Source organism: Homo sapiens, chromosome 1, assembly GCF_000001405.40.
Source record: "Homo sapiens chromosome 1, GRCh38.p14 Primary Assembly".
Taxonomy (NCBI): Eukaryota; Metazoa; Chordata; class Mammalia; order Primates; family Hominidae; genus Homo; species Homo sapiens.
In genome coordinates, this window is record NC_000001.11 from 14,337,225 (window position 1) to 14,355,310 (window position 18,086).

The 18,086-nt window shown below is 41.9% G+C and overlaps 1 protein-coding gene and 1 long non-coding RNA gene across 7 annotated transcripts in view, besides 1 other annotated feature; one reads left to right on the plus strand and one right to left on the minus strand.

The window, feature by feature from the left end:
• Positions 1 to 18,086, plus strand: part of KAZN (kazrin, periplakin interacting protein) — a 1,225,220-nt gene that overhangs the window by 444,401 nt on the left and 762,733 nt on the right. The window lies entirely within an intron of this gene.
• Positions 8,459 to 9,658: an enhancer, noted in NCBI's record as "CDK7 strongly-dependent group 2 enhancer chr1:14672178-14673377 (GRCh37/hg19 assembly coordinates)". NCBI's record gives its function as "activates an origin of replication core promoter dependent on BRD2, BRD4, P300/CBP, MED14 and CDK7 cofactors, with strong dependence on CDK7, by STARR-seq in HCT116 cells {active_cell/tissue: HCT116}" and the evidence as "EXISTENCE:reporter gene assay evidence [ECO:0000049][PMID:35650434]".
• KAZN-AS1 (KAZN antisense RNA 1) overlaps positions 11,731 to 18,086 on the minus strand; it is a 71,019-nt gene continuing 64,663 nt past the window's right edge. The window contains exons 4-5 of the long non-coding RNA NR_149058.1: positions 13,645 to 13,801; positions 11,731 to 12,154 (exon numbers count right to left, since the gene is read on the minus strand). This is a non-coding gene — a long non-coding RNA (KAZN antisense RNA 1). The remainder of the gene's footprint in view (positions 12,155 to 13,644; positions 13,802 to 18,086) is intronic.

Below are 18,086 nucleotides of genomic sequence, written 5' to 3' on the forward strand. Positions count from 1 at the left end.
AATATGGTGCAGGCAGGTGTCACAGTTCTTTCTCTTGTTCTCTGTCAAGAGTAACCCTAGATCATCTGTGGAGGGAAGGATGAAAGAAAAATGGTATTGAAAGCATCCATACTGGAAAAGGATGTGAATGGTTTTAAATGTTCTTCCTTTCCTTGACATGGCAATAGTTTACAAGTTTAGTCTTTAGGGAGGAAAATATGTTTAGAACCCTGAATTTACAAATACTATTTTCCCTCAATAGGTCTTGTATATTGTTAAGACTTGAAGCAGAGTTTTAGATGCATGTAAACAGAATCTGAAATCCCTAAAATTGTCCTCCTTTCCTCCATTGTTCCTGTTTTAATCCTGGGGCAAGTAGCTATTGGTTCATTTTTAAGAGAAGCCTCCTTGGCTGGGTGCGGTGGCTCACGCCTGTAATCTCAGCACTGGAAGGCCGATGTGGGTGGATCACCTGAGGTCAGGAGTTCGAGACCAGCCTGGCCAGCATGGCAAAACACCGTCTCTACTAAAAATACAAAAATTAACTGGGCGTGGTGGCGCGCATCTGTAATCCCAGCTACTTGGGAGCCTGAGGCAGGATAATCGCTTGAACTCAGGAGGCGGAGGTTATGATGAGCCAAGATTGAATCACTGTACTCCAGCCTGGGTGACAGAGCAAGACTCTGTCTCAAAAAAAAAAAAAAAAAAAGAGCCTCCTCTGTTTGAGAAATTGATCTTAATACCATCTGCTGCTGTCACTCTTGATTTTCTCCAGTGTTCACTGGCTTACCTTCTTTGCTCATAGAAGGTAATTTTATCCACATTTCCTTGAGTAACCAAATCATTCTGGTGAGAATGGACCCCTTCCCACCCTCCAGAGAGAGAATCTCAATCTGCCTAAGGCAATCAAAGAGACCTGTCTCTCTTCTGACCCAGTGATGGTTTTAGGAATGACATTGACCCCCTTCTGGTTAAGAACATGTGAACAGGCTGGGCGCAATGGCTCACACCTGTAATCCCAACACTTTGGGAAGCCAAGGTGGGTGGATCACTTGAGGTCAGGAGCTTGAGACTAGCCTGGCCAACATGGCGAAACCCCATCTCCACTAAAGAAAAAAAAATACAAAAAAAATTAGCCAAGCACGGCAGTGTGCACCTGTAGTCCCAGCTACTCGGGACACTGAGGCAGGAGAATCGCTGGAACTTGGGAGGCAGAGGTTGTGATTAGCTCAGATCGTGCCACTGCACTCCAGCCTGGGCAACAGAATGAGACTCCATCTTAGAGAAAAAAAAAAAAAAAAAGAGAGAGAGAGAGAGTGAGAGAGAGAAAAGAAAACATGTAAACAAAAGCCTGCTATGCATTTTCTGGGAAAGGTGTCCTCAGAAATAAAAGAGAGGCGATGGAAGGAAATTTCCTTTTCTTGCTGTATGTCGTCATGTCTCTGGGCAAAGCCTGAAACTGCTGGAGCCAACTTGGTGATCCCAAGAGGAGTCCATTGTGTTCAATCTGGCAGGGTAGGAAGCACCAAGGTCTTCTGTTGGTGTCATTGAGCAAATTAGCCAATCAGGGATTTATCCCATGTTCAGACTTCTCAGTACATAAGTGAGATGAAAAATGTCCTTTCTGTCTAGCACACTTTTAATTGAGTTTTATGTTGCTCGTAGCTGAAAGCACCCTGAAGGATGCATTATTTCAGAAGGGACCCACATAGGAGAGCCATGATGGAAGGGGACACCCACCTAATTGGGCACATTGCTGAATCAATCCTTGGGACCAATGTGATGAAGATGTCACAGTTCGATTGCCCAGAGACTCTGAAAAAAGAAAAAAAGAAACTCTCATGATTTTCGTGGGGATTCACAGACAAACAAGATCAGACGTAACAGAGAGAGACAGAGACTGAGAGAGAGACAGAGAGAAAGAGGGGACTGGATTCTTTATAAAATAAGAAAAGGAAATAACACAGAAAGAAAGAACATAAAAACAGGCGTTCAAAGCTCCCAAATGCTATCATCCCTCAGAACACACTCCTGTTCTCATTCTTTGAATGGGGAAGAGAAAAAAGCAGCCAAAACATAAATTCTTGAAACACTATAGACCCTGAGCAAATTGATTCTCTAATAAATATGAATTAAATCTCTCCTATGTATTAGGCATAGGAGAGGAGAGAAAATCAAATGGGTGGAACAGAGCATTAGTCAGAGTTCTCCAGAGAAACAGAACCAGTAGGATGTGTATATGCACCAAAAGAGACTTATTACTGTAAGGAATTGGCTCACTTGATGACAGGGGCTGACAAGTCCCAAGATCTGCAGTCAGCAAGCTAGACACGCAGGAGAGCCGACGTTTCTGTTCGAGCTCAAAAGCAGGAAAAAAACTGATATTCGAGCTCAAAGGCAGGAGAAATTTCCTCTTTTATGTGTGGGGGGAAGTCAGCCTTTTGTTTTATTGAGGCCTTCAACTGACTGAATTAGCCCCATTCACATTAAGGAGGGCAATCTGCTTTATTCACTTTAGCAATTTAAATGTTAGTTTTATCCAAAACCCACTTGCAGCAATACCTAGAATAACGTTTGACCAGATATCTGGGCACCACATGAGCTAGTCCAGTTGACACATAAAATTAACTATCACAAGTAGCAACAGCTTTTCCCTGAAAATACAGCCTTTCCCCCTTCCCATGAGTTATCCTTAAGGGCTTAACTTGTATATTAACAAAACACCACCCAATTTGCTACCTATCGTCTTACCCTGCTGCTTCAAGCAGCTCTCCCACCATGCTTCACCTTGAAGTTCCCCAGCTGTGGTTTTCTGTGGATTTTAGCATTACAGTGAACACATTTACATATCTGGGTGTTTCATATTCTTTGTTATGGAATATGTAGCTTATAAAATCGGGGAACAGAGTGAAGGGTCTTCCATCAGCATGCTGGGTTCTGAGCATCCGCACTGTGTGAGGGTTGTTTCTTGCATCATTAAATTGCTGGCTTATTGGAAGCTACTTCTTATTTATCTTTGGGTCCCCTGTGCCCAATTTCTGTGCTTTGCACAGAGCAGACATTCAGGAAATATTAGTTGATTTGGATATTAAGCTATGTGTTTCTTTTGAGAAGATCACTTTATATAACCAAGTTTTACTGCTCTCCAGATCTCTGAAAATATTTTAGTAGGTCTCTGTTTTTCTTAAGTCACTGGATGTCAGCCTGGTAAAAGCAAGAGATTGACGTCACAGACTTGGAAATCACAACAATTTGGGTGTAACCCCCAGTTCTGGCAGTTACTGAGTCAACTCAGCCATGTTTCTTAACTTCTTTAAGCCTGAGATTATTTTTCTTCTGTAAGGAAAAATGTGTGTTTCAGTGCCAAGCTATGCATTGTCACAGAGACACCTCTGCAGGTTATCTGACTCTAATCTTATACAAGTTGTAGATAACTGATAACAAGGCACAATGCTTGCTGTCTGTAGGCATACAAATTCCGTTCTGTTCTATGGAAGTCCCGTGGAAGGAGCCAGTTTTGCCTTCATTTGCCATTTATTCCAGCATCCCTGATCTGTAAGTGTGTCTGTTTTTTGACTTCTCCTTTGAATCAGTTAAAACAATTACTTGGTTCCTTCATTATGAGTAAAATGAAAATGTTTATCAGATGTTCATCTTATATCTCCGTAAGGGTCATGATTTTCCCTTTTTTTTTTTTTTTTTGAGATGGAGTCTCACTCTGTCGCCCAGGCTGGAGTGCAGTGGCACAATCTCGACTCACTGCAACCTCTGCCTCCCGGGTTCAAGCAATTCTCCTGTCTCAGCCTCCTGAGTACCTAGGATTACAGGCATGCGCCACCATGCCCAGCTAATTTTTGTATTTTTAGTAGAGATTGGGGGGGGTTTCACCATGTTGGCCAGGCTGGTCTCGAACTCCTGACCTCAGGTGATCCACCCGCCTTGGCCTCCCAAAGTGTTGGGATTAACAGGCATGAGCCACCGTGCCCAGCTGATTTTCCTTATTTTTTAAAAAAGATTAGGCTTTACCTTTTATTTTTTAAAAAGATTAGGCACTCATCTGTAAAATGGGGAAATGATGATGATGATCTCAAGTGTGATTTATCAGATGTGACAGGCACCTGCAGTTGACCCTTCTTGCTCCATTCTCCAAAATGCAGGCAGTGCAATCCTGTTGAATCCTAAGTCAGATCCTGCAGCTCCTGGGCTCAGGGTGCTGCAGTGGCTCCCAACGCACGCAGTCCTGACACTCCCCCTGAGATCTCACAGCACCACTGTCCTTGTGTCCCACTTGTCCTTCCTTCACTTCTGTCTGGCCACACAGGCCTCTTGGCTGCTCTGCAAACACACAGGGTTGCTTCTGCCTCAGGACTTGGCACAGACTGCTCTCTCCACCCTGGTTCCTATTCCCTCAGTCATCCACATGGCTGACCCCTCACTTCCTTCAGCTTTTATTCAGATGCCACCTCTGCAGGGAGGCCCTCCTAGCACCCATATGGGGGTTCCAATCTGCCCACTTCCCAACCAACACCTGCTCTCCCCATGTCCTGCCTCAGTCTGCTTAATACTCACTACTTCCTGGCAAGCTGTTTTTGTTGTTGTTTTCTTTAAGCCTATTCTGAAAATTATTTTTAACTTTTATTTTGTGTTCAGGGGTACTTGTGCATATTTGTTACATAGGTAAATTTGTGACATGGGGGTTTGTCGTACAGATTATTTCATCACCCAGGTATTAAGCCTAGTACCCATTAGTTATTCCTCCTGCTCATCTCCCTCCTCCCACCCACTACCCTTCAATCGGCCCCAGTGTTTGTTGCTCCCAATGCATGTGTCCGTGCGTTCTCATCATTTAGCTCCCACTTATAAATGAGAACATGTGGTATTTGGTTTTCTATTCCTGTGTTAGTTTGCTAAGGATAATGGCTTCTAGCTCCATCCATGTCCCTGCAAAGGACATAATCTCGTTCTTTTTTGTGACTGTATAGTAGTCATTCCGTGGTGTATGTGTACCATATTTTCTTTATCCAGTCTACCATTGATGGGCATTTAGGTTGATTCCACGTCTGTGCTATTGTGACTAGTGCTGCAATGAACATACATGTACATGTGCCTTTATTATAGAACAATTTCTGTTCCTTTGGGTATATACCTAGTAATGGGATTGCTGGGTTGAATGGTATGTCTATTTTTAGGCCTTTGAGGAACTGCCACACTGTCTTGACAATCTGTATTGTACTAATTTATGGCACGTATTCTTGCTTTTTCACTAGCATACAAACTCTATGAGGGCAGAGATTTTACTGTTGTGTTCTTTGCCATATCCTCAGTGCCTAGAACAATATCTTGCAGAGTAGGCCTTCAATAAATGAATGCTATGAGATAATTGGCACTGAGTGCCGAACCCAATGCTTGGCACACAGAAAGGGCCCAAAAAATGCCGCCTGCAATAGAAACAATAAAAAAGAAAGGGAAGAAGGTGAGGAGAAAGAGGTTGGGGGAGGATGTGGATCCCTTAAGAGATGATGAGACAAGAGGCAAGTCAGCACATTCAGAAACACCTTGTGGGGGCCATCAGAGGGAACATTCTGAGGGAGCTGCACTTGTCCTTATCGGATGAGGTTTTTTATAAGCTTGTGTCCATTAAACTCTTGTATGTAGTGACAGGTGCAGTGGCTCACGCCTGTAATCCCAGCATTTTGGGCGGCTAAGTTGGGAGAATCACCTGAGGTCAGGAGTTTGAGACCAGCTTGGCCAACATGGTGAAACCCCATCTCTACTAAAAATATAAAAATTAGCCTGGCGTGGTGGCAGGCGCCTGTAATCCCAGCTACTCAGGAGGCTGAGGCAGGAGAATCACTTGAACCCGGGAGGCGGAGGTTGCAGTGCAGTGAGCCGAGATTGCGCCATTGCACTCCAGCCTGGGAGACAAGAGCAAAACTCCATCTCAAAACAAACAAACAAACAAACAACAAAAAACTTTCGTATGTAGCTGGCACATTTCACATCCCACCTAGTGCTGTTTTCTGATGGAAGTCAAAACCGTCAATTTGGGAGAGCATTGATAGTTGAGGGTGGGATAAGGGAAAACATCGAGGAAAAAAGATCAGAAAGACGATTTGAGTCCACTTCACGTTTTCCTGCCACACTCAAGCAATTTAGGAAAATTGGCACAAATAAATGGAGATTACTTTCCACTGAAACGCTTGACTGCAGAAGTGAAAGATAATTTTTCCTTGGTCGAGAGCTATGCAGTGGAAGGTCAGCCAACGCAGATGTAGGTGATGGAGCTCCATGGTGATCATCCAGTTGTGCAGACTCCAGGGTTTTCCACCTCCCTGTGGCACCATGTGTGATGCTTTTAAAACCTCAGGCCATTAACCAACTGCCCTCAAAGAGGATCATCATCTCGGCCCTGACAACTCTACTTTTGAAAACCATGTTTGATTTTTATTGATTCAGACTGGAACCCGAAATCAATACGAAACTGAATTTTGTGCCTAAAATGGTTTGCAAACAAATCGAATTTTTAAAATCTCCCTTTCAATTAATTCCTCTGCTAATTAGTTTTAGCTTTAATTGCTTTTGAGACCCATTTTGAGGCACTTAACATGAGCGGGCAGCCTCTCTCCTTTCATTTCCTTCGGCAAACTCATCCAATTAAAAACACATTGCAACATTTTCATGTAAAGAATTGGGTCCCCATTTTGTTTTTTAAAAGTCCCAAACCTTAACCACTGTAGCTGCATTGTACTAAAACTAGTTTCTAAGTTTGTGTCAACTTGGCAGTTCTTTCTCTTGCTAGGTGATAGATCCAGAACCGGAGACCCATCTTTCCAGCTTCATCTATCAAAACCTTCATTCTCCCCTTGATGCCAATGTGCCATGCTCCAAGATCTTGTCCTGCCTATTATGGGCATTCCAACCTCCAGAGAAGTATTGATTCACTTATCCATTCATGTATTCTTTTTTTTTTTTTTTTTGACAAATATTTACTGAAGGAAACTAGCCTGGCATGTTCTAAGACAGTCACCATCAGTCACAGATGGCAACTGAACCCTAGAAATGAGGCTGGTCCACACTGAGATGTGCTGGAATTATAAAATACACATCTGATTTTAAAGACATAGTGTGAAAAAAAAAAGAAATGTATCTCAATGATTACAAGTTGATATAATTTTATTTTTATTATATTGTGCTAAATAAAATATGCTAATTCCATCTGTTTCTTTTTTCCTTTTTGATGTGGCTACTGGAAATTTTTAAATGATAGATTTGGTCAAACAGTGCTGGTTTAGGTGTTGGGGACATAGCAGAAGGCAAAACAAATAAAAACTCCTATTTTTATGCAACTTCTGTTCTAATGGAGAGAACATAGACCTCAAAAAAAGGATTAAAATATATAGCATGTCAGATTGTGATAAATGCTATGGAAGAACAATAAAGCAGGAAAGGAGGCCAGAGACTAAGAGGGGAGAGACATCCCATTAAATAGGGAGGTGAGGAAGAACTCATCAAAATTAGACAATTTTGGGAGAAGAGAGGACAATTCAGGGAAAGACAAATTGTCAATAGGGTCTCTACTAGTCAGGACTCAAGCTGACAAAACTCCTACTAGGTTAAGGCAAAAAGATTTTTTTAACTCATGTAAATGAGAGTTCACGGGTGGACATAGCTTCAGGGACTCAACACAAACACACACCATTGCCATCCCCTCTTCTTTTTTTTTTTTTTTCCTTGAGATGGAGACTGGTTCTGTCGCCCAGGCTAGAGTGCAGTGGCGTGATCTCGGCTCACTGCAACCTCCGCCTCCAGGGTTCAAGCTACTCTCCTGCCTCAGCCTTCCGAGTAGCTGGGATTACAGGCACCCGCTACCACACCTGGCTAATTTTTGTATTTTTAGTAGAGATGGTGTTTACCATGTTGGCCAGGCTAGTTTCAAACTTCTGACTCCAGGTGATCTGCCTGCCTCAGCCTCCCAAAGTGCTGGGATTACAGGCATGAGCCACCACGCCAGGCCCATCCCCTCTTCTAAATCCTTGTTATCTGCAGAGGCGTAAACCAGTGGTTATCAAACTTTAGCAGCGTCAGCATCAGCTGGAGGGCTTGTTCACACCTGGATGGGCAGAGCCTGCCCCCAGAGTTTCTGATTCAGAAGGTCAGAGAGACCTAAACATCTGCATTTCTGTTTGCTGGAAATGTCATTTAAAAATTTCCAGTAGCCACATCAAAAAGGAAAAAAAGAAACAGATGGAATTAATTTCAATAGCATATTTTATTTAGCACAGTATGATAAAAATATAATCGTATCAACTCAGAATCATTGAGATATATTACATTCCTGTTCTTTCACACTGTGTCTTTAAAATTGGATGTGTATTTTAGAATTCCAGCTCAGTGCACACCAGCCCCATTTCAAGGGCTCAGAAGTCATCTGTGGCTGATGATGACTGTCTTGGAACGTGCCAGCCTAGACAACGCTTAGATTATGATGTCCTTCAGTAAACATTTGTTTTTTAAAAAAATAAAGAATACATGAGTGAATAAGTGGATCAATACTCACCAGGTGATGCCGACACTGCCAGTCCAGGGACCATCCTTTGAACACCACTGTGCTGGATAATACCTAAATTTTTAAAATCAACACATGGAGGGATAAGCATACTATTTGAAAACATGGAAATAACATGAGTGAAAAGAGCAAAAAGAAGTTCTCTCAGGGAAGTTAGGGTCAGGTGTGAGAGGAGGGGGCAGGAGACCATGATGTTTGTTATAAGCCTTATCGTACTAATATTTGTGTCATTTCGATAAAAGTAAAAGGTGAACTTGCAGAAAGTACATGAATGAAAAATGTAGCACTGCTCATTGGCCACTAGAAGTTTCCTGCTGTGCACTTCTGAGGAGTGGCCACACATCAGGCATTCATCGTCCAGGCAGACTTTGGGCTCACAGTGACCCTAGCTGGGCTGAATTCCTGGTACTTCCTGTGTGGCTTGTTACTGTACATGAAAATGCACAAGACTCTTCCCACCACTGACCTCAGTGTCTGCCCCAGGAAGAAGAAGAAAAGTTTTGGCTCGAAAATGCTCTTCAAGGACACAAGGCGGTCACCAAATTACAGCATGCAGCTTTCAGGGGATGACTAAAAGGATGAGGATGATGACTCATAGCTGGGGACAGAAGCGAATCCCTCTTGCTGACCTGTGCCCTCCTTTGCACCGGTGTTCTTTCTCAGCCCTCCTGGGGTGAGGATGTGACTGTCCCCTGGGAAAGCTTGGCAAGATAAGAGTAGGAGCACAAAGAAGGAGGTAGATAGAGAGTGGTTTGCAGTCGATACTCAGTGGTTTGGGTAGGCTTCTTTCTTCCTTGGGTTGAATTTTCTATACCTCCCCTCTGTATCAGTAAGATATGACTTCCAGCGCTCAGATCAGAGCAGGGTACTTAGATGTTAGGATGATTCCCTTTGCCCAGGATTGAGGTGGCGCCCAGGACACAGGATGTTCAGAAAGCCCCAGGCAAACAAAATAAGTTGTTCACCCTATTAGATATAATCATGCATATGCACTAAGATTTACCTGTGAGGTGTCTATGGTGGCACTATATAATACCAAACAATTAGAAAACAATTAAATTAACAAATATTTATTGGGCATTACTCTGTGCCAGGGACCATCCTACGTGCTTAGGATAGAGCTGTGAACAACACAGACAACAATATATCTAATTATACTAAATAAAGTATGGTATAGCCATATCACAGAATATTATGTAACCTACAAAAAACTGCTATGGGGAAGGAAATACAACATTACATCAAGGATGACCATGAGATAAAGGAAAATAGATGTAGATGTTCAGGGAAATAGATGTAGAAGACATCTTTTGTTTCTGCCTGCCTAGCATCTATTCACCCTTCCACGGGTGACACCTTTGCTTTGGGGAATGTTCCCGCTCCTATCCCAGCAACTTGTGAAGGGCTATTATTCAAGGATGGACGTGTATGTGTAAGGGCTATCACGTAGATTGTTCTGGCTGGGCACTGCACAATCCCAGACTACCATGAGCATGCTCCCAAGGCTTATGCAGCACATAACATGGACAACTATACCAGCAGTCCAGGCACACGACCCAGCTACTCCAATCAGACCTCTCTCCGCAGTTCAGAACTTGAGTGGAATCCTGCCCTACCAGAAAATGGTGGGAACTGAGTCTTCCCAATGAAGACACGCTAAAGAGTCTGACCTGCTACCTAGATTCCAAGATCCACCCGGGTCCCCAGCCTCCCCAAGGCTGGATTGTTTAAATTGGTATTTGAATCTTTAAACCATCTTGGTATCCTGCCCATAGCTTTCTTTTGTTAGATTAGGCAGAATGGCTTTCTGTTACTTACAACCACAGAACCCTGGCTGCTTCTGCAGTTGTCAAAAGAGTGTGTATACAATGAGTCCATTTGTATGAAAAGTTATGTGTGTGAATATATATTATACATTATATATACATTATATGTTGTATATTATGATACCTAGACTATGTAAAGGGTGTGTGTGTGAGTGTATGACTCCTACAAAGTGAGTAGTTCTCTGGATAGTCGAACTACAGATTATTTTTATGTTCTCTTTGATTATCTGTGTCTCCTGAAGTTTCTACAATGGGCATATACTACTATTTTTTTTCTTTTTTCTTTTTCTTTTTTTTTTCTTTTTTAGAGTCAGTGTCTCACTGTGTCACCCCAGGCTGGAATGCAGTGGCATGATCTTGACTCATTGCAACCTCTGCCTCCCAGGCTCGAGTGATCCTCCCACCTCAGCCTCCTGAGAGCTGGGACTACAGGTGGGTGTCACCACACCTGGCTAATTTTTTTTTTTTTTTTTGAGATGAAATCTCACTCTGTCATCCAGGCTGGAGTGCAGTGGCATCATCTCAGCTCGCTGCAACCTCCACCTCCTGAATTCAAGTGATGCTCCTGCCTCAGCCTCCCACGTAGCTGGGATTACAGGCACACGCCACCTTGCCCCAGTTAATTTTTGTATTTTTAGTAGAGATGGGGTTTCACTATGTTGGCCAGGCTGGTCTTGAACTCCTGAGTTCAAACAATCCACCCTCCCCAGCCTCTCCAAATGCTGGAATTACAGGTGTGAGCCACTGTGCCTAACCCATATACTACTTCTTAACAAGAAAAGAAAAATTAGAAACTAAAACATGCACATAGCTCACACCTAGTTAAGACCATAGGGATTTTGAGCCAAAGCCCTATTTATAAGTAACATTTGCACTTACCTGGAGGATTTTCCATGTGGTGGATTCTCCAAATGGCTGTTCACAGTTGCCTGGGGATTTGCACGTTGGCATGCTAACCACCTCCCTGAATCTGAGATATGATAAACGATAATCTTAGCTTTATACGACTCTGAAATCTATCACTTCAGTTAGAAAAGAACGCGAAGAGGGGGATAGTTCACATTTTTCCTTTTTCCAAATTGGGAAACTGAAAAGGAGGCAGTGAAATGGTGTGTGTACAAAGATTTCCTTTCTGAACAACCAAAGCCATGAGAATCAGGATGGATGGTCTTGTACAATTTTCTCAAAATATTTAAAGCTTTTGTCCTAGAGAAAACAGTGGCTACAGAGTGATTCAATGAAGGACTTTAAGTTTATCAAAGGTTCTACCTGATGTGTTCAGATCCACCATATAATCTGTGAAGGACTAACAATAGGTAGGTTGGTTTACAGTCCAGCAAAAGAGATCAGGGTTGGTTATGCGGAATGGCTTTTATTCTGTTCAACAGATATTTACTGAGTGTGTTTTGTGTGTTGAGCTTTTGGCTGTGCTGTAATGAATTCAAAAGAAAACAAAAAGCATGGTTCTACCCCTTGAGGCAACTCTCATTGTTCTTGGGGAGACAAGATGAACCTGTGAAGTAAAGACAAATCCAACAGTACACAGGATCAAAGGCCAACGTATGTGGTACAAGTGATAAGGATACTGGAAAGGAGTCAGGAATGGTCCAGGAGGGATACATGGCTGGGAGCCTGAGCCCAAGCCTGAGCCCTGCCTTGGAGGATGAGGACTCAGATGAATGCAGAAAAGTCTTCGAAGAGAGATTAAGGCAGGGGATTTCAAGCCAGGACTCAGCTTCAGCCCAGAGCCAGGCCACGGGTGGTTTTTTTGAATTTGTAGAACCTACCAAAATTTAAAAATTGATAAGTCACACATATTATTCCACATTCCATATTTTATTTCTTGAAAAATAAAATATCCAGCAAGACTAGCACAGGGCAAGATGGAGAAGCAGCTGCCCTGTCTCAGTAAAGTAGGTGCTCCACTGAGGTCACAGTCCTCACCATTCCCAAGGTCTCTCCAAATGAGGCTGAAAGATCCATTGCCATTTATCATCTTGCACTGAGCCCACTTTGTTTGTTAATTTACCCTCTAGGCCCCTATAGACATTTGAGTTTGAGACCCCTGAATGAAAGAAACAGCCCTACAGTGAAAATGAGCAAGGTACGTTCAGGGTTAAAGAGGAGATAGGCCTTAGATTATAATGTAGCTGATCAGGGGATGTGAGGTAGGGACAGCCTGGCCTGGCAGGCTAAAGAGCATGGATCTGGTAGAGTAGGCAGAGAGGAGCCATTATGCTTTGTTAAATAGTGACAAGAGGCCCGGTGCGGTGGCTCACGCCTGTAATCCCAGCACTTTGGGAGGCGGAGGAGGGCGGATCACGAGTTCAGGAGATCGAGACTATCCTGGCCAACATGGCGAAAACCCGTCCCTACTGAAAATACAAAAAATTAGCCAGGTATGGTGGCAGGCACCTGTAGTCCCAGCTACTCGGGAGGCGTGAACCTGGGAGGCGTGAACCTGGGAGGCGGAGCTTGCAGTGAGCTGAGATCGCGCCACTGCACTCCAGCCTGGGCAACAGAGCAAGACTCCATCTCAAAAAAAAAAAAAAAAAAAGTGACAAGAACAAGCCTTGGAAGAACCCCCAGTCTCCAGGATGAGGTTTCTGTCACCCTCTGGATCTATCTGACCCCTGAGTCCACTTTGGAGTCAAACAGAGGTAGGCATCAAGCTGTGGCCACTGATTACCCATGACCTTGGGAAAGCTGTTTAAATTCTCTGAGTTTTATAAACAATGATGAAAAGATTGCCTAAGAATATGACCATGAGGATTACACAGAATGAGATGCAGTGAGTGCTCGGCACAGAGCCTGGTTCCTCATTATGGCTGTCACCATCACTAATAACCTTGTAAACAGCCTAGGACAGTAGTTACCATGGAAGGGAGTTTGCTGCCTGGGAACATGTGGCAACGTCTGGAGATCTTTTGGGTTGTCATATGGTGACATGGGAGGGGACAGGAAGGGTGCTACTGGTATCTGGCAAGAAGAGTTCAGGAATGCTGCTGAATATCCAGCAATGCACTGGACAGTGCCCACCACAAAGAATGATCCATCGAAGTGTCCACAGTGTGGAAGTGGCAGAGACCTAGGTGGTCTAATGCAGTGGTTACCAAGGGTCTACTTCACAGAACCACCCAGCAGCAGTGCTGAGAATGCGCATCCCCAGCCCGGCACCTAAAGATCAGCCCATCGGGAAGCTGGCCCAGCAATCCACACATATTCTAGCAAATTTCCCCAGAGTTTCAATCCTCAGCCAGTCTTGACAGTCACCTGTTTCGAGGTTAGCGAGTTCTCATGAACATTTGATGTCCCCTGAGTGGCAGGCGTCTGTTGCACATTGAAACATGCCTTTCAGGCAGGGGTGTGTGTGGTCAGTTGGCAGGGCCAGCTTTGGGTGGTCTGGTGTGATTTTGTTGATACATAAGACCTGCGTAAAAGAGAAGAGCACAAGCCAATCAGGACCTGACCCCAGTCCCTCTCCGCAGAGTGGGCTCCAGGTCCTGAATCCTCACTCTAAGCAGCCTTTTCTTTTCCTGGCAGGTGTGTTTCTGTTCTCATCGAATCTCTGGCTTGTAAAGCTCAACATGTTCATCATTTCGCCAGCAGCCAGAAGGCACTAGAAAGAGGGGAAACTGCTTTTCTCGCTTCAGAAACTTGGGATATTTTAATTCTAAAATAATAATCAGGCCAGGCACTGTGGCTCACACCTGTAATCCCAGCACTTTGGGAGGCCGAGGTGGGCAGATCACGAGGTCAGGAGATTGAGGCCATCCTGGCCAACATGGTGAAACCCCATCTCTACTAAAACAAAATACAAAAATTAGCTGGGTGTGGCAGCACATGCCTGCTCCTCTGGAGGCTGAGGCAGGAGAATTGCTTGAACCCGGGAGGAGGAGGTTGCCGTGAGCTGAGATTGCACTACTGCACTCCAGCCTGGCGACAGAGCTAGACTCCAGTCTCAAAAACAAACAAACAAACAAACAAAACATCAGAACCAAAGACTTGGTCATTATAAACAAAGGCAGGGCCATCATCTGTGCCAGGAAATAAGCTGAGGGACGCTGCAGGCTAGTCCCTCCAAACAAAGAACAGCCCTTTGAAGACCTTTCTTTGTAGGCTCAAGGGAAGTACTCTCACTTCTGAGCTCTACCCCACAGCAAACACTCGGACCAGCAGCTAGACCCCGTATGCAATATACTTGTTGATCTGTGTACATCTTGTAAGGATTTTTATGCCTTTTAAAGTTTTTGTAATTAGTTGCTTAGTGGCTCATTTATTTTAAGGTTTCTTTTGCTCTTTTAGAGAATCATATATACCCAGGAATTCTTCCAAAGCGAAAAAAGAAAATCAAACTAAAGTAAACATGTACATTATTTTTAAATGTAACAAAAATTTTGAATGCTAAATTTAACAATTAGTGAAATTGGGGTAAGTAGCATTTTACAAACACGTGTTTATTTCTCTATTGCAGTTATCTCTTGTAAGTTGAAGCTGCAACATATTTTCAAGTATCAAATCTTTGTATAATGTTATACATCATACAAGTATAAACATTGTTTTATGCTTGTAACAGCCTTTATCATGAAAAAGATTTTTTCACATCTATCTACATACATGGTTATGTACAATTAGACACAGAATCGGATCAGCAGCATTTTTTTTTTCACTGTGGGAAGAGAGAGTCATGAACATTTGTAAGAGTAAATATTAAAGTCCTGAACTTCTCTTGGCTCCAGAGAACTGACAGAGCATTAAAAGGGCCCTTAGGTAGAGGAAATAATATAATATGGTCTTCCCTGAGTCCAGCTGAGGAAAGCCGCCTGATTCTGAATTCATTTTCTACAGTAAAATTGATTACTTTGCCTCATACTCTGAACCCTATAAAAAGCACCAAGGTAGTCTTAATTCTTCTACTACTAATAAAACCCATACTTGGGTATGCTTTATGCTTTAATGCTTATAAGGAACTTTTCACATATTATGACCAGAAACAATTTGCTCATATATTCTTTCATCCAGTAATTCCTTCAACAACCTATTTTTACATTCTTAGTCACGTGAGAGAAAAAAAGGCAAGCACAAGAGATATAATTGCAGGCCTCATGAAGCTTACAAATACCTTTTCATCAAATAGACAGACAAATAAATGAAAAATTGCATCCAAACAAGGACATTACAAGATAAGAAAATTACATACCAACATATTAAAAAGGATAATACATCATGACTGGCTGGAGTTTATTCCAGGAATGCAAGGTTTATTTAACAAATGAAAATCATTTAATGAAATTTATGATATTAACCAATTAAAAGAAAAATAGATTATGATCATTTTACTAGATGAAGAAAAGGCATTTGCCGAAAATTTAGACCCATTCATGATTTTTTAAATCCACATAACTAGGGATAGGAGGAGATTTCCTCAATCTGTTAAAGAGCATCTACAGTAATCGTGACTCCTTATGTTGAAATATTGAGCACTCCTCTTCTTAAGTTGGAGACGAGTCAAGGGATGTTTGCTTCCATCATTGGCCAAAGTCCTAGCTGGTGCAAAAAGGCAGGAAAATAAAACAAAATGATAAAAACTAGGAAGGAAGAAATAAAGCTGTCACTACAGATGACATCACTTTTTTTTTTTTTTTTTGAGACGGAGTCTGGCTGTGTCACCCAGGCTGGAGTGCAGTGGCGCGATCTTGGCTCACTGCAAGCTCTGCCTCCCAGGGTCATGCCATTCTCCTGCCTCAGCCTCCCAATAGCTGGGACTACAGGTGCCTGCCACCACGCCCGGCTAATTTTTTGTATTTTTAGTAGAGATGGGGTTTCACTGTGTTAGGATGGTCTCAATCTCCTGACATTGTGATCCACCCTCCTCGGCCTCCCAAAGTGCTAGGATTACAGGCGTGAGCCACCGCGCCCGGCCGACGTCACTTTCTATGTAGAAAACTTGAAGGGATCTACCAAAAACTCTACTAGACGTAGTAAGTGAATGTACCAATGTCACATGCTATAAAGTTAACATATGAAACATAATTTAATACTATCTTTTAGCAAGAAACAATTGGAAAGCAAAATAAAAATATCATTTAAAATAGCATTCAAAACTACAAAATATTTGGGGATAAGTTTTTTAAAGATGTCAAGATCTTTCAATTGAAAATTATAAAATATTGATGACAGAAATGAAAAAACTAAGTATAAAGATATGCCATCTTCTGCATTGGAGGACTCAGTATTATTAAGATATCAATTCTCCCTAAGTTGATCTGTAAATTCCACCTATCCTAATCAAAATCATAGCTGGCTCTTTTCCAGGAAATAAATAAGCTGATTCTAAAATGTACTTGGAAATGCAAATGCCATAGAATTTCTAAAACAATATTTAATAAAACAAGGTTAGAGGACTTTCTCTGACTTAAAAACTAACTATAAAGTTATGGTAATCACAACAGTGTGGCATTGTAGAAAGACTAAAGAGTCCAGAAATAGATGGACACATATATGGTTGACAAGACTGCCACAGCAATTCAATGGGGAATTGAAAGCCTTTTTAACAAATAGTGCTAGAACAACTGGATAAAAAAACTGCATTAAAAAAAGCCAAAAACTTTCAGCTTTTATGTTTGTCTTTTAGAAGAAACTACAGGGAAATATATTCACAATCTAAGGTTAGGCAAAGGTTCCTTAGAGAGGATGCAGAAGGATGAAAAAAAGAAATGGACAAATTGAACTTAAAACATTTTGCTCATCAAAAGACACCATTAAGAAAATGAAAAGACAAGCCAGGAGCTAAGAGAAAATTTTCACAGTGCCTACATCCAACAAAGAATTTGTATTCAGAATATGTAAAAAATGCTTATAATTCAGTAATAAAAAGAAAACAACCCAGTACAAATGAGCAAAATACTTGACTAGCAGACAGTTCATAAAAGACGTATAAATGATAAAGAAGAACATAATAAGGTGCTCAACGTCAGTAGTCATCAGGAAAATTCCAAATTAAAACCAAAATTAGTTACCACTGTGCATCTATTAGAATAGCTAAATTAGACACACACACACACACACACACACACACACACACACACACACAAACAAACCTGACAATGCCAAATGTTGGCAAGGACCTGGATCAACTGGAACACCCATATATTGTTGGTGGGAGTATAAAATGTTCCCATCAGTTTTGAAAACTAGCATGTTCTTAAAATGTTATATATACAGCTATCCTATGACCCAGCAATTCCTAGGTATTTACCAAAGAGAAATGAAAATGTATGTCTGAAAAATTATTGTACAAGAATATTCATAGTAACTTTATTCATAATAGTCCAAAATTGTTAACAACATAGATCTTCAATAATAGGAGAATGGATAAACAAACTGGCATGTTGATACAATGGGATATTACTGAGCAATTAAAAAAAAGAAATAAACTGCTGATACCTGTAACAAGGATGAGTATCAAAAACATGCTGATGAAAAAGCCCGACACCAAAGAGCACAAACTATATGATTCCACCTATATGAAATTCCAGAACCAACACAATTAATTACAGTGTTAAAAATCAAGAAAATGGTTGCTTTGGGTCAAGGAGGTCTTGACTAGGTGGGAACAAGAAGGAACTTTCTGGGGTGATATGTATATTGCATTTATCAAAATTGATCTTTTGTCAAAATAGCTCAAACTATGTGCTTAAGATCTATGCATTTTA